This window comes from Homo sapiens, chromosome 20 (assembly GCF_000001405.40).
Source record: "Homo sapiens chromosome 20, GRCh38.p14 Primary Assembly".
In the NCBI taxonomy this organism is placed as follows: Eukaryota; Metazoa; Chordata; class Mammalia; order Primates; family Hominidae; genus Homo; species Homo sapiens.
In genome coordinates, this window is record NC_000020.11 from 52289577 (window position 1) to 52317364 (window position 27788).

Here is a 27788-nt window from a genome sequence, read left to right on the forward strand (position 1 = left end):
AAATATTAGCTGTTATTTTTATAGGGACCTATTAGATAAGTGAATCAAGTAAGCTGAAATTGAGAAAATGTTTTCTTAAAACACACGGATTGCTTGGTTTGTCTTTAATTTTTCCACTTTTAATAGATATATGGGTACAGAGAATATTATGTAGGTTTCTTAAATCTACTCTAAGGAAGACAATAGTGTAAGCAGAATGATAAATGGTAAGTGAGACTTAGGTCTATGCAAGAGAACAATAGGAAGTGGTGGGGACTGGGGAGAACCAGAGTGAGCTTGCCCTGTCTTAGGGGGCGGCCACTACTTAGGCCAATTGTCGTATGAGAATGAAGATCTGATGTTGTCATGGATTTTTAAGAAGCTAGAAACCTGAACTTTTTAATGAAATCTCCTAATTTGTAGATGTTGGCAACTAAATAAAAAATAAATTCAATACACTCTAGAATGCTGCAATGTGAGTGTCTGTGCTACAATATAAAATATACAATATAAAATAAAACATGCCTGTAGGCCAACTTGGCCCCCAGGTCACCAGTTTGTAATCTCTGCTTTATCTCATAACTTCCTCTAGGGTGTGAACTATGGCCTGTCCACAGTAGACAGGCAAAAATAGATGTTGAACTAAGTTAGATTTTGGTGTAAGAACTCTGGAGTACTTTCCATACATCAAACTGGGCTGAAAAAAATAATCCAAAGGATATTTTCCATTGTCGCTATTTTTTTGTCTCTGTGTGCACAGTAGCATAACATGCCCTGAATGCAGAGAAACCGTAAACTAGGTCATTTCCTTAGACAGTAAAATTCTCTGAAACAAAAGCAGCCAAAAATTGATCATTTTCCTGCTAAAGAAGCACATGCTCTCTCCGTGAGAACACACACACAGTTTAATACAATAAAACCAAGCCTGACAAAAATGTAAAATGTATGCATTTTAAAAGAGGAATTTTTAATTATATTAATTTAAACAGAAGCCCTAAATTAGTTTTCCTGTAAGAATGTGATCAACTGCTTAGTTTCCCTAAAGACAACGTGTGACCTCTACGAGGAATGCAGTTATTTGTATTCAGTTTTTCCCCCTTTCCCTTCTAGATATTTTTCCCCCCTTCATTTTATAGAATTTAATAATGGGCGAAGTAACAAATGAGAAGATAAAAATTCCTGAACACTCTAGGGCATACATGGGGATATAAACAGATATTGTAGCCATTTCCTTAAGTTACATCATTTGCTGGACTATTTGACTTTCTAATTTGAACTCCCTGTGTATTACTAAATTTAACTTGTGTATGCGAGTGTGTGTCTGTCACTGAATTCCCCCAAATGGTAGGCTCTGAGAATAAAATGCCAAATTATCTATTTCATCTGTGTTTCTGTCCATTTATGTATCTGTCTGCTTATTGATCTATTTAAACACGATCTATCAAGGAAAGCATTTCGACGTCTTTGTTTCTTATTCTTTCTTGTTTACGGAGACCACATTCCCCCCCACCCTCAATTTCAAATTGCCCTCTCTTCTCGTCTGCAAATGCTCATGGTATAGATATTTCCTTTATTATTCCCTCTAAACTTTCTTTGTTCCCGTCCCTGTCTTTTATTATTTCTCCTGTGTCATCAGAAACTGACTGCTGGATCCTGCCAATTAGCCTTTGTCTGTCAGCACCAGCCTCAGCCTCCCGAAGAGCGAGTGTGCACGGCGAGGCGGACAGGCCCTATTTCGTATGCAGCACAGTGTCCCCACACGGAGATATGCCATTACTGACAAAAGAGCAGTAGATGGGCTCAGATTAGCTGCTGACAAACTTCCTGTGTGTGTGTGTGCGTGTGTGTGTGTGTGTGTGCGCGCACCCGGTAGGAGGAGATAGTGGGGGGTGGGCAGGACAGGGCAGGAAAGAGAACCATACCCTGGAACACCAAACAGCAAATCTAACTTGCAAAGTAACTTATCAATTCTATTCCAAAATACCAATCATTCTGAAATGGTTTCCATTATAAATGTGGTCCATCTGTACTGGTGGGCACAAATGGGCAGGTCGCAGCCACAGGAATAATCCACAGATTTCTGCCTCTTGGTCGCATCTGCTCGGCCCTCCACTGTGAACTGCTTCTCTCCTTCCCCAGGTTAATATTTCTGGGCAGCTTCCAGGGTGAGGCAAGGGAGGCGCTCACCTTGGGTACGAATTGGGCGCCAAAAAACTCAGTAGTCAAAACAATTATAATATCTATGATTTAATTAAAAAATAAAAATGAATGCCAAAAATCCATGATGAAGAAAATATTAAAATTTCAGATAAAGAAAGGATCAGTGTTGGTGATGTTTCCGTATGCATCGGGCTCTAATATGGCTCGGCACAGTGCTGTGACTGATCCTGTCTTTATATACAGCATCATATATGTATGTGTATATATATATATATATCATATATATATGCATTGAGCGAGTGTATGTGTGTGTATATATGTGTGTCTGTGTGTATGACATTTTGTTTGACATATTTTTTGGTCATTTCAATTTTTTAACAATATGGCATTAAAATATGACTTATCTTGATTACTGTGTTCCTTGGTGGCCTCTTAACTTCTGCTCCAAAGTGAGTTCTCCATTGACCTCACCCTGGTCTGGGCCCTGAGGCTCTCCCACACGGGCTTACATGAAATTCTGCTCCTGTCAGGGGCCTCCCTCTGGCTAATACCATTGACCTGCAAAGCATTCAGAGGGCACCATGGGACCCAATGGGCAGACACAGGGCACAGCCCTTCCGACTGGGCGAATCCAACTTTTGTAAGGGAATACTGAGAACTTGCAGCCTCAAGATGCCAAGGCAATTGTATTCTGTGGATGTGTAAGGGGCTCTCATGATAATACCCTCTGATAGAGAGGCCCCCAGGCAGTCTGCTGGTACCCCATATCTTAAAAGAGTCCCTGGGGCTATGGTATCTCCAGTTTTTACTTGCATTTTCCCAGTTGTCCATTAGACTTGGGGGCAAGAGTCCAGTGGGGTGTTGGCCAGAAGGCACATCCAGGAGCCCCACCCCATGTTATATTCAGAATCTCCCTTTCTCTTAGGCAGCTAAGGTCATTCTCAGTGTGTTTGTTTGTTTTTATTTGCTTTTTTTTTTTTTTTTTGAGACAGAGTACTTGCTCTTTTGCCCAGGCTGGAGTGCAATGGTGGGATCTCAGCTCACTGCAACCTCCACCTCCCAGGTTCAAGTCATTCTTGTGCCTCAGCCTCCCGAGTAGCTGGGATTATTACAGATACGTGCCACCACACCCAGCTAATTTTTGTATTTCTAGTAAAGACGGGGTTTTGTCATGTTGGCCAGATTGGTCTCGAACTCCTGGCCTCAAGCAGTCCACCCACCTTGGCCTCTCAAAGTGCTGGGATTACAGGCATGAGCCACCACGCCTGGCCATTCTAAGTGTGTTTGGATGCCCCTTCCCTTAGGTTGCGTTATCTCCCAGGGTCCTCTTCAGACCTACAGGCAAACAGGCTCCCTGCAGGCTTTGCCATGCACAGATCAGACACACTGGTGCCATCATCACCTTCGTCACTATCCATCCACATTTATTGAATGCAGGTATGCCATTTCTCTTCTAATCCTCACAATAACCCTGTCAGATGGGAACAGTGAGTTTTGCCTTTTGCCAGTGAGAAAGGCGAGAACGCAAGGAGTGCATTTCTTGGCATACACTGGCTAGTAAACAATGGGCTTAGATTTGAACCCACATCTATCTGATGCTAGATACAGCACTCTTAACTTCTACTCAGCCTTGCATTTGCCCTGTACCATCCCAGGAGTCTCAAGAACCAGGAAGCTTTTGCAGAGCTGTTTTGCTCTATTTTGTGTGATGAAACATTACCTTTTATTCTACAAATACAAAGTTGTATTATGAAACTTTGAAATAAACTTGAAATGTTTGTTTCAAACTATACTCCGTTTTCTCTCTCCCTTAACACATGTGCATATTCACACACACACGTACACACACACATGCACAGACACATTCTCAAAAGTTCTAGTACTCTGACCTTGGTTAAAATCCAGTCCTTGGTCATACAGGTGATTAAGGCAGAGACACTGCCCTATGAGGTACTAGAGTCTAGTAACAGAAGGGGACATCTTATCAGTGAAGGTTGTTGGGTGTAAGCAACAGAAATGAACTCTGGTAATTTAGACAAAAGGATGATTTATTACAAGAGTACTGGCTTGCTCAAAGAATATCAGGAGAGCCAGAGACTCAAGCTCAGTGGCAACATACCAGTCTGGTTCCAAAAGCCATAGCCCTGCCCATGTAATTATTTTGCCTCTCTGTAGATGTATATTTATTGAATAAATGCCTTAAATGAGGACTTTGCAGGAGGAAATGCAATTCCTTGTGGAGTCTCCTATGTGTATGTAAACTACAGAATCACTATTCATCCAGCTTCTTTTTGTGGAAACTATTCCCATGGGAGAGTTTGGAAAAGAGGATATGGGGTGAGAAATAAACTTTATTTTCTCCTTCTAATCTCCTTGCATCACCCCATCCTCCCTCTCTGACCTCCCCTGCCCTATCAGGAAGCTGAACAAAACTAGGTCCTTGAGAGTTTCTTCCCCCTCAATACTTGGATAGATTCTTTGTTATTTAGGGTTCTCCCCAGAAGCAGAACTTGAGATAAAGATTTGAGTACAAGTTGTTTATTTGGGAGGTTGTACCAGGAAATACCCAGAAGAAGGTGGGGAAGTGAGCCAGGGAAGGAAAGTTGAGTCATCAAGACAGCTAACGCCATGGAAGACTGGAGCTTAATGTCTCCTGGAAAACTCTGGAAGCCAGTGGAGAAAAATGCCTCAGAGTTTTTCTTTCTGGGGAGGGAGGGAGTTGGGGTATTTATACACCAACATTGTCAGTTGTTGAGGGTAGCTCCTAGAGGACCATTAATTCTTGGTACTTCTGGACTACCGTGCCTATGGCAAACTGGTCTCCAGAGACCACAGAAATCCCTTAGGCAAAAAGATGCAGATGCTGCTGATGTTGCAGTCCAGCATCAAGCACTCAGGTGATCAGGGCATGGCCCTGACAGTGACATGCGGATGTCCCTGGGCTACCGACTTCTCTTCCTTAGCAGAGAGAGCTTTGAGTGTTTCCATCCAGCAAAAGCCTTAAGAACCTCCAAATCATCCATCTTTGAGTTTCAATGTCAAGAAAATATTGGAAGAAAATATTAATGCAAATCTATGCTTTGTCAAGAGTAGTGTTTTGTTATTTTTCTTGAACTATCCCAGATACACTATTTCAAATTAGGAAAAGGACAGATTTTTTTTTCTTGAGCAATATCAACTAAAGAGAGGAGGAGGGAAAAGAAAAATTCACTTATCATGGTTTATTTGTTTCCATGTGATGATAAAAAGATTAAGTCACACAGCTTTTATTTTTCCCCAATGTTTTTCTCTTGCCTTCTGCTATTAGTTGTGTTTCTATTTATTTTAATTAGAATTTAGCCTTTTATTGAACCTATTTTCTTTCTGTGGTATTTTTATAAGCTGTGTTCAGCAATTCACAGTTTCTAAAACACTAGAGATACTTTTTTTTTTTCGGACAAGATGATGCACATCATCTGGGCTTGGATCTGGTGGGCTAGTATTCATCTCAAAGGTTATGTTCATCGTAGCAAATGGGACTAAATTTTATTCTTTAGAATTATTCCAGTTCCAGTACCTGAACACTTAACTTTAAAATTTTTTTACTATTATATTCATTGGGTATTTGTAGTGTATTCTATATACTAGCTGGTAATATCACCAACACCAACAGTATCTAGTGTTAGATGTTGTTGTACTGTTTCCAAGTGTTAGAGTCCTAGCTCTGCCTCTTCCAGCTATGCTGTTTGGGTGCTTTGCTTTACCTCTCATCAGTTTCTTTACATGTCAGCCTATAAGTTTTTATTTTAAACAGACTTTGTATATATAGAATACTTAGTCCAAAGCCTATAACATAGTAAAACATTTGACTCAGGTAAGCTTTTATTACAAAACACTGGCATACACACACTCATTTTATTTAAATAGAAATGATACTGTTGGCTTATGTGCACCTAATCTTGAATTATCAAGTGACTAATGCATGGTTTGTGTGTGTATATATATAACACACAGAGTCAATAAACAAGTGTATATGAAATATCTGTGAGTCATGTTCTCATCTCTATGCCCGTGGTCTTAATTTTGAAATGTCAATTACATCACAGCTTAATGGGTGTACATAGCAGTGTGTCTGAACGTCGTTTGGCTTTCTCGATCAATATTGACCTAATTTTATCCGGGGTGGCTCTATTTCCCCTCCGTGGTATGTGCACATCTGCAAATCGTCTCAAGGAAATGAAGTTATAGCAACATCTAGAGAATGCAGTATGATGATGATTACTCAGAACTCAATCTCTTTCACCCTGTGCCTCCCTCACCTGCATTAGCCCCATGGCTCACCTCTGTGGGAATGGGGAATGACCCTCTTCTTTAGCTCTCTGGTGGTAAAAAGGGAAATGATAACAGGAGTAGCTAACAGTTACTGAGAACTCACCATGGGCAAGCACTTCTGTGTGAATTCCCTTACTCTCCTGTGTAGCCAGAGCCTTTATTATTGCCATCCACAGGTGATGGATGAAGAGGTTGACATGAGTGAACACCCAGTGACGTTGAATAAATACATGGCAGGGCCGAGATTGCAGCCCCAATGGTCAGCTCTAGGGCTTGCCATTTATACAAAATGAACTTTCAGTTTGGGAATAATTTTAGATTTGCAGAAAAGTTGCACATATATTATAGTACAAGCTTACTGTTTTAGCCATTGCTTTTTGCTGTTCTTTAAGCCTCTAAGATTTTACCAAATCATGTCAACATCACCACCAGCTCATCTAGCTTCTGAAGCATAGATCAATCTAACCTCAATTAGAGGCTCCAATTATCCACATTTAAGGCGCCATCAGAGAACACAATGCAAAATTTCTTCTTTCATTCAACACATAATGATTGACTGCTCTCTATGTCAGTTACGTACCAAGTGGTGAGCAACTCAGTCCAGCTGTTTGTCCTTATGGGAGGTAGACATTGTACACACACACACACACACACACACACACACACACACACACACACAGAGTCAGCTGAGTATAAATTTACAAGAAACAGACATTAGAGAGCATGCAATAGTGGAGGCTGACCTGGTCTGGGGGACACAGGGCAGGAAAAGATGGTCAGGAAGTTTCCCAAGGAGGTGATGTTTGAGCTGATACTTACTTCGAGGGTGAGTGTGAAGGAAAGGATGGAAGTGTGGGAGGGGAAGACTGTTACAGGCAGACAGAACATCTCCTACACAGACTCTGGCATCTGCCATCAGCTTGCCTTTAATGAGTTTCTGGCTCAGATATGTAAAAAAAAAAGTCTTCATTTCTTAGAATGCCTTCTAATTCTACCCCCCTTGCAGGCTTCATCTCCTCTGTGATTTTCTCCTAGGCCCACTCTCTCCTCCCCAGAATTAACCACCCTATACTATATCAGACCACTGTATGTACTTCTATTATTCCATGTAAATACTATTTTAATTGCTTTCCTAGAAATACCTGTCTTCTCTACTACATTGATTGCTCCTTGAGAAATATATTTTATTCCTATTTTATATCTCCAAATAATGAATCAATAGTATTTATTGAGCAATTCCTATGCATTAGGCACTTTGCTAAATTTTTTCTTGTAATATTTTATTTATTTCTTAGGTCAAACTTGTAGAGTTGTATTATTCATTCCCTATCACCCATTTAGCCAGCATTTATTGGGCACCAACCATTGTGTCGGGCACTGTTCTAAATCAGCCAATGAGGTCCTGCTGGTCAAATCTGGCTCTCCATCTGCTTAGGTAAATAAAATTTTATTGGAACCCAGCCATGCTCATTTGTTTACATATTGTCTACGGCTGGCTTCATGCTACTACGGCTGGGCTGAGTAGTTGCAACAGAGAATGTGTGGCCCACTAAGCCTAAATATTTACTATCTGGGTTTTTTTTTTTTTTTTTTTTTTTTTGAGACGGAGTCTCGCTGTCACCCAGGCTGGAGTGCAGTGGCGTGATCTCAGCTCACTGCAAGCTCCGCCTCCCAGGTTTGCGCCATTCTCCTGCCTTAGCCTCCTGAGTAGCTGGGACTACAGGCGCCCGCCACCACGCCTGGCTAAATTTTTTTTGTATTGTTAGTAGAGACGGGGTTTCACCGTGTTAGCCAGGATGGTCTCCATCTCCTGACCTCGTGATCCACCCGCCTCAGCCTCCCAAAGTGCTGGGATTATAGGCCTGAGCCACCGCGCCTGGCCACTATCTGGGTTTTTACAGGAAAAAGTTTGCTGATCTCTGTTCTAGATACTGGGGGCACAGCGTGGAAAAAAAAAAAAGACAAAAATCTTTGCCCTGGAGGGCTTGCACAATGCTTGTGTCAGAGATGGATAACTTCAACCTGTGCAATAGCTGTTCTGGGTTTCCTAGCTTCTCTTCCAGTTAGGTGTGGCCATAGGATGGTTCTAACCAATAGAACATGAGTAGGACTAATAAGGACCATTTCCCTGCCTGGCCCATACAAATCTCCTGTATGTGTTCTTTCATAGCTCTTCCTCTTGCAGGGACATGACCATAGTAAGCTGGAAGCCACTTCTTGAAGATGGCAGCACTTATCCTGCTGGCCCTGAGTAGCAGTATGGAGCCAAGATTCTTTCTCCCCTTACCACAGGCATACCAATCTGGAACCACTTAGTATTGTTGTATCAGCAAGAAATACATGGCAATTGTGTTTGAGCCATTTTTATATTTTTAGGTCAATTTGTGCCATCAGCTAGATTTTCTCTAATGAATGCAGTTTTATTATTATGTTTGCTCTGTAGCTATTAGCCCCAATTTTAACATGTCTTAATCCAAGTATATTGTCTCTCATCTGAAGACCAGAGTGATAGGTGGTCAGGGTTGTTGCGTGATATCAACTATGACCTGGTTTCTTCTCTCTTGCGGTTCTGCCATCTCCTAGAGCGTTGCCCTTGACCCAGTGGAGCTGGCTTCATAAGCAGCACCTTGTATTCCAGCATGAGAAAGGGGTGCACAGCTTGTTTTTAAGTTCTACTCTTTATTTCTGTTCATACTCTCTTGGCTAGACACATGAGTCACATGGCCACATTTAGCTAAAAGGGGGGCTGAGAAATGTACTCTTCAGCTCCATGGCCATGTGCCCAGCTACAATCCACAGACTTCTACCATTAAAAGGAAGAAATTGTCAGGTGCGGTGGCTCACGCCTGTAATCCCAGCACTTTGGGAGGTGAGGTGGGTGGATCACGAGGTCAGGAGTTCAAGACCAGCCTGGACAAGATGGTGAAACCCCATCTCTACTAAAAATAACAAAAATCAGCTGGACGTGGTGGCGGGCGCCTGTAATCCTAGCTACTCGGGAGGCTGAGGCAGAGAATTGCTTGCACCTGGGAGGCAGAGGTTGCAGTGAGCCGAGATTGCGCCACTACACTCTAGCCTGGGTGACAGAATGAGACTGTCTCAAAAAATAAAAATAAAAAAAATTTAAAAAAGAAAGAAATTGGGAATGGGTGGTGGGCACAGTTAGTTGCCTTTCATACACATGATGATGACTCAGAACTTACAGTCCAGAGTAAGTTAAGTCACTTATAGCAAAAATAAGCACTTTTTTCCCTTTATTTTTAAAAATAAAGACATTGTATTTAGTTTGGCAGTGTAATGAAAATAGTTGACAGTTATAGCAGCACACTATGCGTAGGAGTCTGGGTTTTGTGTTGTATATGTATTAGCTCATTTAAGTCTCCTCACACCACTACAAGTAAAGTGTTATTTTAATTCACATTTTATGGATGAGGAACCTGAGACTGATAGAGGTAAAGTGAGTTGCCCAGGGTCTAAAAGTTAGGAAGTGTCAGGCCTGGATCCAAAGCCAGAGAGCTGGGCCCCAGAATCTGCTTGCTTGAATCCATCTGGTAGATTGCTTCATCTCTGAAATGGGGATAAAATATGTACTTTAGAGCTGGGCATGGTAGCAAGCATCTATAGTCCCAGCTACTCTGGAGGCTGAGGCAGGAGGATCCCTTGAGCCCAGTAGTTTGAGGCTGCAGGGCACAATGATTGCACCTGTGAATAGCCACTGCACTTCAGCCTGGGCAACATAGTGAGACCCTGTCTCTAAAATAAATAAATACATACACACACTTTATCAGGATAAAGCATGAGAGAGGACGCAAAGTAGTTTCTGTCTTTATTTTTGTAATTTTTAAACACAGGAACGGAAAACCAAACACTGCATATTCTCACTCATAGGTGGTAGTTGAACAGTGAGAACACATGGACACAGGGAGGGGAACGTCACACACCAGGGGCTGTCAGGGGGTGGGGGGCAAGGGGAGGGAAAGCATTAGGACAAATACCTAATGTATGTGGGGCTTAAAACCTAGATGACGGGTTGATGGGTGCAGCAAACCACCATGGCACATGTGTACCTATATAACAAACCTGCACATTCTGCACATGTATCCCAGAACTTAAAGTAAAATAAAAAAAAAGCCATAAGTTATATTCCAATATTTAAATAAATTCCAGTGATAGGCTATAATTAATTAAATATAAACTTAAATAATGTGAAGTAATCATAATCTGAAATAAAGAATTTTCAAATAAAAAACTTTAGTCAATTTTAATATATGGTAGTCTTTTAATTAATTTTTAAAAATATAGAATAAACAGTAGAATTCCCTTTTCATTGCTTTGTTGACTCCCTGCTAGCACCTTCACTGCCCAAATAATACTCATTTCGCCAGAGGAGGGGGCTGGCAAATATGGGCCACAGACCAAATCTCTTCCCCCAACATCCACACCTGTTTTTGTAAATAAATTTTATTGGGACCCAGCCACGATCATGCACTTAGTTTTGCTTTTGGGCTATAAGGGCAGAGTTGAATGGTTATGCCAGAGAGTGGCCCACAAAATTGAAAAAATTAACTATCTGTCCTTTTATGTTAAAAGTTTGCCAACACTTGCTTCAGAGCTAATCAATGTTCAAATTTTATGTCTTCAATTTCATACCTTTTCTCATGTTTTTGCACATGTCTGGGTATGCACATATATATGTAATTACAAAAATACATACCTATACACACATATGTATGCATATGCACACATGCACACATAATATTTTTAGTTAAATGAAGTCATGCTATATAAATGATGTACATAATGTACCTTGGAGATTTTTCCATATCTGTTCCTATAATGCTACTTTGTTATTTTCTGTAGCGTAGATGTACCATCATTTATTTAATCATTCCCCTACTCTACAGATGAACATAAAGCTTGTTTCCAATTTCTGTCAACCATCTTGAATGAGTAGTCAAAATGTCTTTGAAAACCCAATTGTAGCCACCATTCATTTAATTTGTAAAATTTTGAGTCTTTTGCAGGAGGGAGGCTAACTTCATTCCATGTTAGAGTTTCTTACACACAGTAAACAGGACCAAAAATATATTCTGCACTTCGGGTCTTAATTATGCATTATACACTTAATTAAAATTCACATTGTCAGTAAAAGGTAAGGACTATATTAGATTGTGGTTGTTGGCATCATGATTAATATACATTTAAGCTTTAAAATCTGTTGTTACATTATGGTAGATTTTCCAGAAAGAAACATGAAGCTTTAAAATGCATTTTTAAAAAGACAGAAGGAGATATGAACTCAGTGGAAGAAATCCAGCTCATTCTAGAGCAGATGATAGCTATATATAATAAAAAATGGAGCCAAAGTCTCACCTTAATTTGCGTGTAGTTTAAGGCAGGCAGGTTCTTCTCTCTCTTTCTGAGAATTAGAACTGTATAAAACCAGAGGATGGATGAATGTGCAAGGCATCAAACTCCAGGATAAAACCTGATTTTCTATTTTGCTAAACCAAACACTCAAGTTTTACTAGTCTTTGTGTCCGCTTTAGGTGGGAGCACTGTTGTTAGTTTCTTCCCAAAGCTTACCTTTCCCTTTGGTCACATTTTTCTAGTTGTTTTTATTTTTTGACCCTAAAGAGTTTCCCTTTGTTCAGAGACTTGTCTGTGGGCTTGATACGAAGTTTCCACTTTGTTTGGTGTATTTCCATTTATAAGCCGTGTTTTTCTCACCTTCTCTGCTTCACACTCAGTTTATTTCCATTAAAGATCAAGAAAGTGACTGAAGAGTCTGTTCACATTTTGAGGTGGCCTCAATTTTACTCTACTGTTGGCTGGGATCCACCTCTCTCACTCCCCAGCTATTGACTCTTTATTTTCTCTTTTCTGTTTCAACGTTTGGCCATGGAGAATCGTAAAACCTTTACTTTTAAATTGTAAGTGTTACCTTTGTTCTTTTAATTTTGTCATCTGCCCTTGTTCTTTTGTTCTTTGTTTTCAGTATTCTGACTTATTGCATCTCTATGATTATCTTTATGTCAGAGGCATTTAAACCAGAGCGTCTTCATTTTGAATCGGGGCTGGGTAAAATAATACTGAGCCCTACTGGGCTGCATTCCCTGAAGGTTAGACATTCTAAGTCACAGGATAAGATAGGAGGTTGGCACAAGATACAGGTCATAAAGACCTTGCTGATAAAACAGTTTACAGCAAAGAAGCTGGCCAAAACCCACCAAAACCAAGATGGCGATGAGAATGACCTCTGGTCCTCGTCACTGCTACACTCCCACCAGCGCCACGATAGTTTACAAATGCCATGCCAACATCAGGAAGTTACCCTGTATGGTCTAAAAAGGGGAGGCATGAATAATCCACCCCTTGTTTAGCATATCATCAAGAAATAACCATAAAACTGGGCAACCAGCAGCCCTCAGGGCTGCTTTGCCAATGGCATAGCCATATCTTTATTCCTTGACTTTCTTAATAAACTTGCTTTCACTTTACTGTATGGATTCACCTTGAATTCTTTCTTGCATGAGATCCAAGAACCCTCTCTTGGGGTCTGGATAGGGACCCCTTTCCAGTAACATTTATGCCTTGGACAATTTTGAGGTACATATGAAATATCTGGATAGAAAGTGCAAGTTTTCTGCTAATATAACCCTTCTTTCTTAGTAATTGGACCCACAAAGGTTATCCAGGCACATGAGAATAACATGACAAACCCCAGCATTTTTTGTGTGTCTGGGTGTGACTATGTGCCTAATTTCTGGCCAGAGTGGTTTAAGTGGAAGTGTTCTTTGCAACTGTTTGGGGGCCTCTTTGTGTAGAGAGGCCACTTGCTACTCCCTGGCTGGAATGTGGTTGGGTGGTTGGCTGTAGAACGCCTCACTGGGACCTGATGTGGAGGCCACATGTTGGCCTTGGTAGACTTGATAACTAGAGACACAGTGAGTAACACGGGCTTCTCAGAACATGCTGGGAGATAAACACCAACAGCACCCAAGACCAGAAAATGCCACCAGATGCTACTAGAGAGCAAAGTATAGTGACAGGCCAGACTCTGCTTTCTAACATGATTATTTTCCAAAATGTCTTGGTCCTTGGACGCTTACCAAAAAAGAAGGAAGGAGTTTGTGACTGTGTGTATGTGTGTGTGTGCAGAATCCTAAATTGGTTGTGTGTTTAACTCAGAATGATGGCACTTACCTGGAAGTGACTAAATTTTCTGCCATTAGGTAGATGGAGGGCTTGACATAAAAACAGTTTAAGTGGAGTTACAGAAGAATTTTAAAAGATTTTATTTCTTGCACACTCAAGTTTGTCTTCTGTGACAATCATAGCCACGATGGGAGTCTGGGCTTAAGAAGGCAGCTGGGAATTGGGGCTGAGGTTTAAGCACGGCAGGAACACTGTCAGATTTGTGCTTCCTTCCGAAGTCTGTTTTTCAGGGAGGTTGTGGCCACGTGATGGTCACGGTTGCTTTCATCCTCTCCTGGAGACTCTCAGCTGTCCTACATATGTCACTGCATTTTTGCAGAGTCAGATGGTCTTTTCTGAATTATTTTCTATTGTCATCATTTGTGATCTCTGCTATAGCCCTGTCTTTATATATTTGCTTCAAAATAGGCCCCCAGTCCATTTTTGGAGAGAGTACTTAGATTTGTTCAGTCAAATTTCAGAACTGCAAGTGGCTCAGTCAGTCCAATGACAAAGAACGCCCCCCCGCCACCCACTGCCAAAATGGAACATGAGTTTTGCTTCAGAAATGAATACATAAAATATGTTACCTTTTCATCCATCTTCTCTCAATTTTATTTGTTGCTAAAGTGATATTATACAGATATTGAAAGACTTTTTAAAATAAGAAAAAAAAACCCATAACAATGATCTCATTTAAAATTTTTGGTTGAAAGTGACAAAAACTGAATTGGAACAAGCTCAGATGGAGAAAAAACACACGAGCTTGAGTCACAGAAAAATCCAGGAACAGAATTACTTTTAGATATCACTTCATCTGAGACTCAAACAATGCTCAAGTAGAATAATCATTTCTTCATTTCTTAGATCTGTTTCCCAATGTGTGGGCATCATTCTTCAGCAGGACCAATGCCTGGGGGTGCAAAATGGCCATGAGAAACTTTTAGCCTCCTATGCTTTGATTTCAGTAAACTCAGCAGCCTGAGGTTCTCTCTCTCTTAATATTAAAATCAAAGCAAAACAAGGAAGTGAGTTTCATATTGGTCTGCTTGTGCTCATGCTCCTGTCTGAACAGATTACCATGGCCAAGACAGTGGAATGACCAGGGTGGTGGGGGCAGGGGGCGGTCAGGTCTCGGGTATGTGCCCTACTTTGGATCTAAGGGTGGGTTAATTTCTTGGACTCAGTGAGTTAAAGATGATGGACAAGTAGTTCTCTACTCCCTCCTACCCAATCAGGGTGGCATTCCCAGAAGAATAAATCAATAGACAAAAATAGCAGAGAGCCACCCAACTGATAATCCCAATCCCCAAAGAGATGAGAGCTTCCATTCTTCTGTTCCCATTCGTCCATGTTCATAAAGATCACACCCGTATATGCTTATAATTATAATATAGAATAGATCAGAGAACAGCAAACTACAGCCCAGGAGCCAAATTTGGCCCATCACTTACTGCTGTAAATAAAGTTTTATTGGAACGTGGCTGTGTCGATTCACTCACATGCCGTCTATAGAAAACATCATGCTACAACAGCAGTTCATTAGTTCCAATAGATACTGTTTGGTTCGTGACATCGAAAAGTATTTACTGTTTTGCCCTTCACAGAGAAAATTTACCATCCCTGGGTATATATTAGAATTAGTATTGTGGTTTTTAAAAATTAACAGTTTATTTGTACAACCTCACATGTTTTCAGAGGCTTAATAATTATGATCTGTTTTGTCTACAGAATACTTCTGTTGGGTTGAATGACTCTCTGCCCCCAGGTAAGGAGAAATACTAGAGGTTTCTTACAGGAACCCCCTCCTTTCATGCATGTAAGCAAAATGTAGAGGCTCCTTTTAAGCACTTGCTCTGTGGTCCCCTAAGCTTAACTCTGCTGAAGCCCTTATCAAACTGTAATTGTATTTTCCTTACATAAAATATCCCTAGGGCAAGGACAATGATTCATTAAGAACACATCCATAATATCTAACGCAATGTCAGGCATTCTGTTGTGCACATATCTACTGCCTGTAAATTCACAACTTCTGCTGCTGGTGGTGCAAACTGAATCATCCACTACCCTAGTTAAAACTTTCCATGGAAGAAGGATAAGACTGAAAATCCTTAACGTGGTATACCAGGTCCCGTGTGATGTGGCCTTGACTTTCTCCTGTAGCCTTCTGCTTTGGCTTTCTTGCTCCAGCCATTCTGGTCTATTTTCCTTTCCTCCAATGCCCCATGCTCCTTCCTGCCTCAGGGCCTTTGCACAGGCTAGCCTCTCTTTCTGGCCCTCTCTCATGCATACTTTAAGGGAATAGGGTGAGGGACCAATACCAAGGCAGCCCATGTGTAATTCTCCTTGTTACATTTATATCACATTATTCCTCTCCATTATTTCATCCCCAAACTTTCATACAAAGGAATACACTCAATGACCATTTATGTGTTACCATGTGCTGGGAACTGTTTTAGAATCAGGAATAGTGCAACAGCGAACCAGACAGGTGTAGCCCTGACCACATGGAGCTTATAATCTTGCAGAGCTATCAGGCAAGTAATCACCAGATATAATGCAGAGTGACCAGTGGAGTTGGAGGAAAAGGGAAGCAGTACAAGAGTGTAGATGAGGGAAACTTCCCAGGTTCGAAGCTCAGGGAAGACTCTCAAAGCCCATGCTGTTAAAGACAACACCGAAGGCCAGGAAGTGCGGGATGGAAGAGCTTACCAAGAGCCTAGTGAGGGACAGATCCCACTGGAGGCCAGGTGAGGCCCCTGGTGCTGTGTCTCAGATCGGGGGTGAGGCAAGTCAGCTGCAGGCCGACTCAGTGTGTTCCGGTGTTCTGAGGAAATGCTCTGCTCCAAGCCATATCTCTTTCTTACCTTCACTTCTCAGAGGCTGTGGTTTCCTTTTGTTCTTCTTACTATTTCAAGCTTTCATTACAACCCTGTGGCTTGGTTACAAGCTAGGGTTGGGGTTTGAATTCATGTTCTTTTTTTTTTTTTTTTTTTTTTTGATACGGAGTCTCGCTCTGTCACCCAGGCTGGAGTTCAGTGGTGCAATCTCGGCTCACTGCAACCTCCGCTTCAAGCGATTCTCCTGCCTCTGCCTCCCGAATAGCTGGGATTACAGGTACCTGCCACCACACCAGACTAAGTTTTATATATATTTATATTTTTTGGTAGAGATGGGGTTTCACCATGTTGGCCAGGCTGGTGTCAAACTCCTGACCTCAAGTAATCTGCCCACCTTGGTCTCCCAGAGTGGTGGGATTATAGGCGTGAGCCACTGTGCCTGGCCCGAATTCATGTCTTATGCTTCTTTTTGCAAACAATGACTTAGGTCAGGGGTTGGCTCACTCTTTCTGTAAGAGCCAGAGTTAATATGTTAAGCTTTGTAAGCCCTGCAAGTCTCTGTCATGATTACTTAACTCTGCCACATGAAGGAAGCCAAGGGCAGCGGGTAAATGAATGGATGTGGCTATGTTCTAATAAAACTTTATTTAGAAAAATAGGTGGTGGGGCGAATTTGGCCAGAGAGCTATGGTTTGCTGACTCCTGACTTAGATGATCAGCAATGTCTTTAAATATGTCTTGACTTACTATTAGGAAATAAAAAAAAATCTTTTATATTAAGATTTTTCAAATTGTGTACTGTAGTCCCTTGGGTTTTTGGTGGAGTTGCATAAAAGCCTTCAGAGCTATTGGAAGGATGAGGGCCAAAGAGAAGGAGGCCTCACCCAAGGGCACTGGGCACGTTTGTGAACCTGGTATTTCCAGACACTGAGTTCTAGAATCAGACTTTCTTGACCTGTGGATGCATAGAAATGCCCATGTGTGGTGGTACAGAAATGGTGATTTTTTTCCCACCAGAAAATTTTTTATGAATAATCATTTTTATTTCTAAAGAATAAAGTCCTCAAACAGTTGTCTTCTAGTCCAGAGAAGTAAAAGATCAGAATTTAGTTTAGTTTAGCCTTGACTTGTTTGCTTCTAGAGAAAATGATGGCTCCTATGATGACTCAACTTACTTTTCAGTCGAACCAACCTAGTGATGAGGTTTGGAGTAGGGCCAATTTTTATTTTCTTTTTCCATACAAGATGTTATTCGAATGACCTTCTTTTTGGGGCCTTTATCATGTCCTATCCCACGGCACTTCTTCCCCATTTTTGCAAAGATTAGTGGTAAAGATTAGTGGAAAAGATTCTCTTTTTCCTCCTGGCTGTCTCCCACTCATTCTTCCAGTCCCTGACTCACAAGCCCTTCCCCGACTTCACATTCTAAACTGGTGGCAATCTTTCATTATTCTTCTCCCTCTGCCTCTCCCTTCCCCTCCCCCACCCTTCTGCTTTTTCTGCTTCTGCTTCTGCTGCTTCTCCTTCTCCTTCCCCTTCCCCTTCTTCTTTCTTCTTTCTTCTTTTTTCTTCTTCGCCCAGTCTCATTCGGTCACCCAGGCTGGAGTGCAGTGGCACAATCTCGGCTCATTGCAAACTCTGCCTCCTGGGTTCTAGTGATTCTCATGCCTCAGCCTCCCAAGTAGCTGGGATACAGGTGTGCGCCACAACGCCTGGCTAATTTTTGTATTTTTAGTAAAGACGGGGTTTTGCCATATTGGGCAGGATGGTCTCGAACTCTTGAAATCAGGTGATCCACCCACCTCTGCCTCTCAAAGTGCTGGGATTACAGGCATGAGCCACAGCACCTGGCCTCATTATTCTTTTGCTTTGCCTTGTGTTATCACTTGATGTGTGAGAGTGTTTGTTCTGTATCCATCTTCCCCATTAGAGGGTAAGCCATACACAGGCAAGGACCACATTCATTGGGTTCACCACTGCATTGCTGATGTTGGATGCATAGCCAATGCTAAATGAATGAGCATTTGTGTTGTTTCATGGCATGGAGTTGTAGATAAATGTGAGGGGTATGAATGACTTAGAGGAACAATTCCACAGTAATGCCAGTTAGGAACAATTTCTGCTACAAATAACAGACTATTGACAGATAGTTACTTTGAAAGAAGCTGTTGGAGTCTTGCCTAATTTCAATACCCTCTGATCACCGAGGCCCCACACACAGTGTTCTCCTGCAGGTCACCGGCTTATTACTCAAAGCACCTGGGGTTCTCTGCTTCATGGATTTTGTTCGCTGTTTGAGCATGCTTGTTGGGTTGGGTGGGAAATTCTAGGTAGTTAGCACTCTCAGTAGCAGTCCTCAACAAATAACAGATGTACGTTGGTAGGTACATATCCCAGTTCTCTTGCCCCTCAGTGGGGCAATACTGAAGCATATCCCCAGCAGTTCTGGGCCTTGGTTGCCCACAGGGGTTACTTCCTCATTAACATACTCTGTATGGGTTTCCTTCTTGTTCCTGGGTGCTGTCTGGGATCACCTCCCTTATAAATGAATTGCACCAAATGCCCGTCTCAGGCTCTGCTTCTGAAGAACCTCAATGTAAAATATTTACTTAATAAGAAGCTTGGAGGTAGGTAGTACTAGAGATGGTTAACTCAGCAGCTCAGCAAGGCTGTCAAGCACCCAGACTTTTCTATCCTTCCAGTTTTTCTGCCTCAGCAGTGGACATTTAGGCTTTATTCAGGTCTTTTCATGGTTCAAGATGGCTGCTGCCGCTTTGGATAATGCACCTTCACTTGTGCATGAAAAGTTGGAAGAGCTGGGTGGGCCTAAGAGTGGAGGAGCAGCAAGTAAAAAGGGTCTTTCCTCACATGCGTCTTTCCCTGAAACAAGGAGAAAACTCTCAGAAGTGACTCCTTTATGTCTCGTTGACTAGAACTGGGCCCTATGGGCCAGCACTTGCTGCGGAAGAGGTTGGGAAGGGAATAACTGGTCTTTTCAGGCTTTGGAGTGGGAGGTGGGTTAGGGCATTGGGAACGGATATGCATAGCCACAACATTAACTAGAGCAGAGCGCATTTGTCTCTTTTTAAACAGATTGATAGCATAGGGTGGAAAGACCACTAATCTATTTGTCCGTTAAAAGAGGGAATACACAACCAAAAGTGCCTCCAGAAAGGAATTTTAATCTGTTCATGGCTGGAAAGTTTAAATTTTACAGCAAAAGTTTGAAATCTCTGTAAACGACAGAGATGAAAAGGTCGGCATTTAAATCTGTTTCCTTAACAGATGGCTCCCAGAGTGAGCTGAGATCGGAATTCACTTTCTGGGCTCAGCCTTTCTCCATAAAGCTGGTCGTGCAGTTTATGACATCAGCAGAGCCCCAGAGTGAATTACGGCTCATCCTTGTGTTCATTCTGGTGCCATCTATTATGCTACTGTGTGTGATGTTGATTAGGAAGGTGTCTTTGATAGCTCAGTGGAGGAAAAAGTGCTCTTGTTAGAGGGTCGAATTACAATAATGGTTAAAGACAAAGGTACATCAAGGGGGGCTGGGACACTAACAGCCTTTTACATTTTTGTCTGTCTGTGTGTGAGAAGAAAGAATAAGATTATATCAAGTCACTAAAAAATACACTCCATATTTAGGGACAAAGACATTCCTATTTTCTCACTGTCCTAATTGAGCTCTATACATCTCCTTAATAAAGTCCTGCCATTTACCTAATGCCAGGTGTTATAAATACATTTAATCAATACTTCTGAGTCTTGACAAAAGAGCCATCTATCACTCTTGACCTCTCAAAGTCTAAGTAATAGGTCAGAGTTTATTACAATAAAACCAAAGGGGTGATCAAAATGTATTTTCTCCATTGGAATTTTATTGGGTTAGGTATTGCTTGAAATAAGCCATTAGTTGTGGCTGGAACATTTTTTGGGTAGCAAAATTCTCATAAGGGTGATTTTTGTATTGCTATTATTTGACTTGGAAGTGTTAAAAAGATTTGAATAATTGATGCCAAGAAGCTTCTTCCATAGAACATACTCATATTTGAGCAATTGAGATTCCTCCTGAGTCTTTGAGGTATATCAGGGGCCTGGACCTTTTGCAAATTTTTTATATCAGAGTTTTAAAGGGTGGGAACAGGGATACCTAAATTTTTGAAATTCTGATGCATGTCAAAGTGCCATATTACTGCCATGGAGCTTTTAAAAAGAACATAATATCCTCTGTGCATTTACCAGTTGCTGGGCTAGGCCTTAGGGTGAGACCTGTCCAATATGGTAGCCACCAGCCATATGAGGCTATTTAACTTTTAATTTCCATTAATTAAAATGAAATAAAATAAAAAAATTGTTCCTCCTTTGCATTAGGTACATTTCAAGTGTTCAGTAGCTACAGATGGCTAGTAGCTAACATATTGGACTGCAAAGATACAGAACATTTCCATCATCACAGAAAATTCTACTGGACAGCTCTGGATTAGACAATAAACAAGACAGACATGATTTCTGCCCTAATGGAGAAAATAGACCAGCCCTCTGCCTCCCCCCATCCACTCCCAACTGCCAATAAATGGACAAATCAACAATTAAGAATTTTGTTTTATGAGGAAAGCCAAGGTCTGTGATCAGGGCTGGCTATGTGGGGCCCAGTGAAAAATGAGAATGCATGAACCCTCGTTCAAAAAAAACTTAAGAATTTTAAATGGCTATAGCCAAACATTAAAGAAGTCCGGGGTCCTTCTGAGCACAAGTTGCACACTCAATCTGGCTGAAACAGACTAAAGCCAAGGGGCCTGGAGACCTTTTATAGTTAAGGATGTCACAAATGCTTCTGCTAGAAAGTGACAAATAATACGAGGTGAAAAAGATGAGAGAAAATGCAAAGTGTGTAGGAGAAGATTTTAGGCAAAGAGAACAGCACAAAGGACCCAGGAGGGAAAGAGGATGGCATATTCAAGAACCTAAAAGCATTCCAGAGTGGTAGAGGGAGGAAAGAATAGCGGAGGTCAAGGCTGAGATGATGGTCAGGGCCAGGGCCAGTGGTTGGGTCCTCGTAGCTGATGGTTGTGTAGGGTTGTGTAGTCATCCCCACACCCCGTTACAGACTCACTGGTGAGGCCCAGCATATGGCTTTATCTTCAGGTTTCATTTGTGAGGTTGAGAGCATCTCTAACTCGTAAGGAATTCATGCACGTCAGAATGAAATTCTGCTTTTTATTTTTTAAGACAAGGAGGGAGAGGCACAGGAGATGATTTGCTTTGATTCACGGTCTGGTGCAGGAGCAGGTTAAGGAAGTCGGGGAGAATGAGCAGGGTTCTGTGCACGCACGTGGCATTTCTAAGCCCCTGCAGATGCAGGGCTGGGCGGGAAGATTCCTGTCTCTCTCATGTGTCATAGGGAAGCATTGGCTTGCACGTGTTACTTCCCAAAAAGGTGTTTCATCCATAGAAATGCTGATTCTCTGGCTTCCCAATGCTATATTTAGAAATGACATTTACATTTCCACAGATCAACAGCTCCTGTTTGGATACAGTTCCAGGAGCTTTGCTGTGACAGTGAATGTGCTGGCTTTTATTCTCCCCTGTTTCCCTTTCTTAGCTGTGGGCAATTAGCAAAGTTAGGAGGCATTTGTCATTTGGTAGATGAAAATAATTAAATATGATAAATTCATATATTTTGAAAGAGGTCAAAATGAACCAGTATCTGTATCTTGACTTTCAAAAAGGCTTGGGGGAAAATTTATTCTATTTTCTGTCTCATTCATTTAAAGAATATCTGTATAGATTTTAGCTAAAGCATCCCTTAAACCCCCAAATCCTCCCACCCTCCCATGTTATTTTATTTATTTATTTTTGTTAATTTTGAATCTGAAAGTTTCTGATACCTTAGTAGCTTATTTATTGATAGTTCATATCCATAGAGAAATGTCTTTTATTCTGCAGTAAACCATTATTTCATTGAGGGTTTATACCTGTGGTATGTGTGTGCATATTATTTTGTGCCTGATGGAGTTCAAATATTCTAAGTATTACTCTGACATATTTCCATCTTAGCAAAATTATTCTCACAGCTATTGATAACAAAGGAAAGGACCAAATATCTTATTTCCTTGTCAAGAGGGTGGAAAAAATGGAAATAGTAAAAATAACCATTGGCTGCCATCAATCTACAGGATTATGGTCTACCTTTGGTAATAACATTCTACTTAGAGCCTCCTGAAACCTGATCAAGGGACCCCATAAAATTGTGAGCACATGTCACCATTAGAGGGCAGTGTGCACTCTCTCCAAGAGCCCATAAAAATTATGTTTCCTGCCATAGCTAAAAGGATTTGTCTGGCAAAGGGCAAACCCATTAGGCATAAACATTCAGCATTTTTTGCTGTTGCCTGTCATAATGAAAACAATGATTTGAAAGTTCTGATTAAACCTGCAAGATTTTCTATCTAGTGTATGTCTTCAAGCATATACTTTTCAAACTTACTTCTTTTGATGTTCAGCTGTGCTAGAAACGTGAGTTAGACCTGGCACAACTTTTTCAGGACTTTGGTAGGGAAAGCTCACTTTAATCTCAGTGACGAAGCTCTCCTTGGAATATAGATGGCCATTAAGTAACAGGAAAGTCTTTATCAAAACAACAGCAACCAAAGTTAGTTAAATTTTTTTTTGTTGTTGTTGTTTTTAGATAGGATCTCATACTGTTGCCAGGCTGGAGTGTAGCAGTACAATCATAGCTCACTGCAACCTCCTGGGCTCAAGGGGGATCCTCCTGCCTCAGCCTCCTGAGTAGCTACGACTACAAACATGGGCCACCACGCCTGGCTAATTTTTACATTTTTTGTAGAGATGAGGTTTCACTACGTTGCCCAGGCTGGTCTTGAACTCCTGAGCTCAAGTGATCTTTCTGCCTTGGCCTCCCAAAGTGCTGGGAATACAGGCATGAGCCACCATGCCCCACCCCCAGAAGATTAAAAAAAAGTCACTCTAAACTCCAAAATGTGTCCAAAAGTCCTCACCCACCAAAACCTAATACAAACATGAAGAATTAGTGAATATTTTTTCAGTCCTGTTTTTTCTGAGGAGCAAGAAAAAGAAATCTTTGTTTATATCACCGTTGGTAGGCCAGTAAACAAAGGCTAGAGAAGACATTTGTATAAACTTGAGAATTTGCATTTAAAACATGATCTACAGTTACTTTGTAGAATATCAGAATTTGATTCATCAGTGGGCATAAAATCATCGCGTTGGCGGTAGACCTGGAATTGGCAAAATTATGATTGCGTCAACGTGCCAGCCCACATCGGCTTCTTGTTCAGGTGTGAGATTGTAAAGGAAGGGTCTGCTAGACTCGTCTTTCAAAAAATTCAGCAAATAAATTGTTTGCTTTACAACTGCCAGCCGCAGTTGCCTCTGGCAGCGTTGTTTTTCTGCTGACTGCGACAGATTGAGCTCTTCTGCCGGAATTTCTCTAGAGGGCAGTAAGGATTCGAGGCTCTTTCCCTATTTTTCTGAAATGACGGATCATCGTTGTGCAGCTGCAAAGGTTAGGTAGTGCAGCACACGCTCTGGTGCTGGGGAGAGTGGCCGAACTCTCCAGAAAGGAGCCTCCTTGGCTTCCTGGTACGTCCTGCAAGCCGATATTTTGTGATAACCTGCAGAAAATCATTTCCTCTCTTCCAAAAGGAAATGGAAGGATTTATTAATAGAGTACAGCTATAGATACAACATATATGTATTAATGGTTGACCAAGGATTTAAAAATTAAATGGCTCCTGGGATCCTGCGTTGGAGGCTGGGTAAAGTCAACAATGGAATATCTGGGAAAACCAAACAGAATAGTTGGGAAAGAGAAATCTGTGTAATCCTGTGGTCCTCAACCAGGAACAGTTTTGCTCCCAGGGGACCTTTAAAGACATTTTTGATTGTTACAACTGCGGGCGGGGGTGGAGGTGGTGGGGGGCCTGTAGCATCAATTGAGTAAAAACGAGGCACGCTACTAAACATCCCATAATAAAAAATACAGCCCCACAACAAAGAATTATTCGGCCTCAAATATCAATAGTGCCCAGGCTGAGAAATCCCGATGCAAGCCATCAGGTAGCCAGGAAGAAAACGTGAAAATAGATTTTAGAAAGCTACAGAAAATTTAGTTTTTGTTTTCAGTTTCTTGGACTCTGAAGATGAAAAGCCAGAATGTCTGTGATATTCAGGATCGTTTTTCGTGTGCTTCCTGCATCAAAGCATGAAAATTGTGGGACCCAGGTGAATTTGAACCCACTGGGCAAGAGGAGCTGTTGAGGTGAAATGGCAGAGTGGCCCCTCACAGGTTCCAGCAGGTGGGGAGGACCCTTCTGTGCTGCTGGGAATTTGGGGCTGGGCATTGCTGGACTCTGTGCCATTCCCTAGTTGCAGGGCCACTAGATGCCTGACTTTCTCTTTCTCTTTCTCTTTTTCTCTTTCTTTCTTTTCTTTTCTTTTCTTTCTTTCTTTCTTTCTTTCTTTCTTTCTTTCTTTCTTTCTTTCTTTCTTTCTTTCTCTCTTTCTTTTTCTTTCTTTCTTTCTCTTTCCTTCCTTCCTTCCTTCCTTCTTTCTCTTTTTTCTTTCTCTCTCTCTTTCTTTTTCTTTCTTTATCTCTTTCTCTCTTTCTTTTTATATATATTTTATTATACTTTAAGTTCTAGGGTACATGTGCACAACGTGCAGGTTTGTTACATATGTATACATGTACCATGTTCGTGTGCTGCACCCATTAACTTGTCATTTACCAAACACCGCAAGTTCTCACTCATAGGTGGGAATTGAACAATGAGAACTCCCTTTCTTTCTTTCTTTTTCTTTCTTTCTTTCTTTCTTTCTTTCTTTCTTTCTTTCTTTCTTTCTTTCTTTCTCTCTCTCTCTCTCTCTCTCTCTCTCTCTGTCTCTCTCTCTCTTTCTTTCTTTCTGCTGCAGGTTCAGCATGGAAATGCTGATATGCTAATGTAAAATCATTCTCTCGGGAAACAGAGAGATTGGGATCAAAATGGGGTCTTTTGCAAATAGCAGACTTTGGTTGGATATTTTGAAGCTCTATGGCTCTGGTTCTCAACCAGGGGTGATTTTGTCCCCAGGGGGACATTTGATGATGTGTGGAGACATTTTTGGTTGTCACGACTGAGTGGGAGTGCTACTGGCATCTAGTGGGTAGAAGCCAGGGATTCTGCTATAGATCCTGCAATGCACAGGACAGCCTGCCCCCGTGCCCCGGTACAGAACTATGGGGCCAGCAATCTCAATAGTGGCAAGGTTAAGAAAGCTTACTCTATGGTTTTTGGCTTTGCATAATACATTCTTATTCCCTACCAATTCTAGGATCAAAAGCGTCCACAGTTATGAAAATTTCCTGTTCTCCAATATTCCACAGATGACTTGCTGGTAGGAGAAAAGAGTGAGAATTGCATCCACTGTGTTTGTAAGGCAGAGTCGTGTATTTATTCGCATTGAAAGGAACATCTCTGTGCCCAGAAGCAGACATGTAGGCAGTGAAAGCAGGTTGAGGACATGCAATTGCTTCATGTGGATATGAATTTTTTTTTCCTCAGTGAACCGAAGTGAGCAGGTGTAAAATGATCTTGGAAACTCAATTAATTTTTCAAAGGCCCAGGCACAGGGCCAGTCTTTGCAAGAACTGGAAGGTGATATGGTTTCATAGAAATATCTAGAAAAGGGTGGATGTGATAAACTATCAGGATCAGACAGGTAAAATAAAGGCAGCGTGGGTGAGGATTGCAAATCTTGGAGTCTGAAGTTGGAATGAAGGAGGTTTGAGTCTCAGCTCCATTATTTACTAGCTCCAGGATTTGGGGCAAGCCACTTCACTTCTCTCAACTATAGCTTTTGCATCTGTGAAATGGGGATAATCGTACTCTTTAATTTCAATTAAATTAGGGCAACAAATGTAATAATGTATTAAATAGCTCTTCAGAGTTCTTGGTATATAGTAAGTGCTTAATAAATACTAGATACTTTATTATTATTATCATAATCACCACTGTTGCCATTATTATTTTCAATGTTTCAGAATCTCCAGTGGTGCAGAATCAAGGGTTTATGTGTCCAAAGGCTTACCTTATTCCTTGCCCCCCTTTTTTTTAAAATCTGAGAAAGCAGAATTTTAATTGTATGAGTTTTTCCCTAGTGTCTCGTGTAGCTTTTCTCATATTCTGAAGTTTAGTCTACATAATGGAAACATTTTAAAACATTAGGCAAAATATAATTGTTTTGATTATTTGCCTATGCAAATATAAAAAGATACTTTCTTTTTGCTGTTTAGGTTAAAGTGATCAGGAATTTAATAATGTAGGAACGAGAAAAAACTTTTCTGAGAGGTGGCACTAGGAATTTTTAAAGGCATGAAAATTGTCTTTATTTGGGGAAATACAAAGTTTTAGATGTACTTGGGGCAGAATGTGAGACCCCAGAAATCTTAAAGTTGTTGAGAAAAGAGGGTTACAGGAAAGAGCAAAAGTTTTCTGCATGAGACAAAGAGAAGAGTTTGCTTATTTGATTTGGGAAGGGAGGGTGGGCAGATGAGAGGGAAAAGGTGGAGGGAGAAGGTGGGCAGGGCTAAGGATAGACATGTGACACAGGCCTGGCTAATCAGAGGAGAGCATACCCCCAGCTTCAAAGAAGGACCGTGGGATGAATGTGCAGACCCAAGTAGTGAGAATTCTGGGACGTTAACTGGAGCCAGTGGGAGCATAATGTTCTCTCTGCTGGACAGGAGCTGTAAGGATGTTTATCTGGAGCTTCTGGCAGCCATTTTGTCACCATGAGGCATGAACCTGAATGAGAATGGAGCTAACTCAGGAGGAAGCAGAACTCAGAGCTGGGGAAAGACTAAGTCCTGATGACATTGGTTGAACTCCTAGATGGCATTGGTTGAACCCAGAGCCCATCTACCTAAGGCCTTGCGTTTACATAGGCCAATTATCTTTTGTGGGTAAGCCTGTTTGAGTTGGTATTTCTGTCACTGGCAACCAAAGGAATACCTGTGATATAGAGAGGACCCCGGCTAATAAACACACAGGTAAGAACAACTGAGGTCTGACTCTGAAGTCTAGTCTACCTGACTTCAAGGCAGTTATTCTATGACATTAGGAGATAAGAGAGCTTAGATTCACTTTTCTCATCTGTAAAATGGGAAGGTTGGGAGTAAATCGGTCATTCCCAGCCTGAAGTATTCAGACTTTCAGGTTTCTTGCAATTAAAAATGTGAACCCTAAGACAATTTTAATTTTCCAAACTCCTGAATTGAAACTC

At 41.3% G+C, this 27788-nt stretch overlaps 1 long non-coding RNA gene across 3 annotated transcripts in view; it reads left to right on the forward strand.

The window, feature by feature from the left end:
- The window catches only part of LOC105372666 (uncharacterized), a 483513-nt gene that overhangs the window by 78934 nt on the left and 376791 nt on the right, over window positions 1-27788 (forward strand). Inside the window, exon 3 of one of the 3 annotated variants that reach the window (XR_007067652.1) lies at window positions 15379-15415. The exons of the other annotated variants lie outside the window; for them this stretch is intronic. This is a non-coding gene — a long non-coding RNA (uncharacterized LOC105372666). The remainder of the gene's footprint in view (window positions 1-15378; window positions 15416-27788) is intronic. 3 annotated transcript variants of the gene reach the window in all.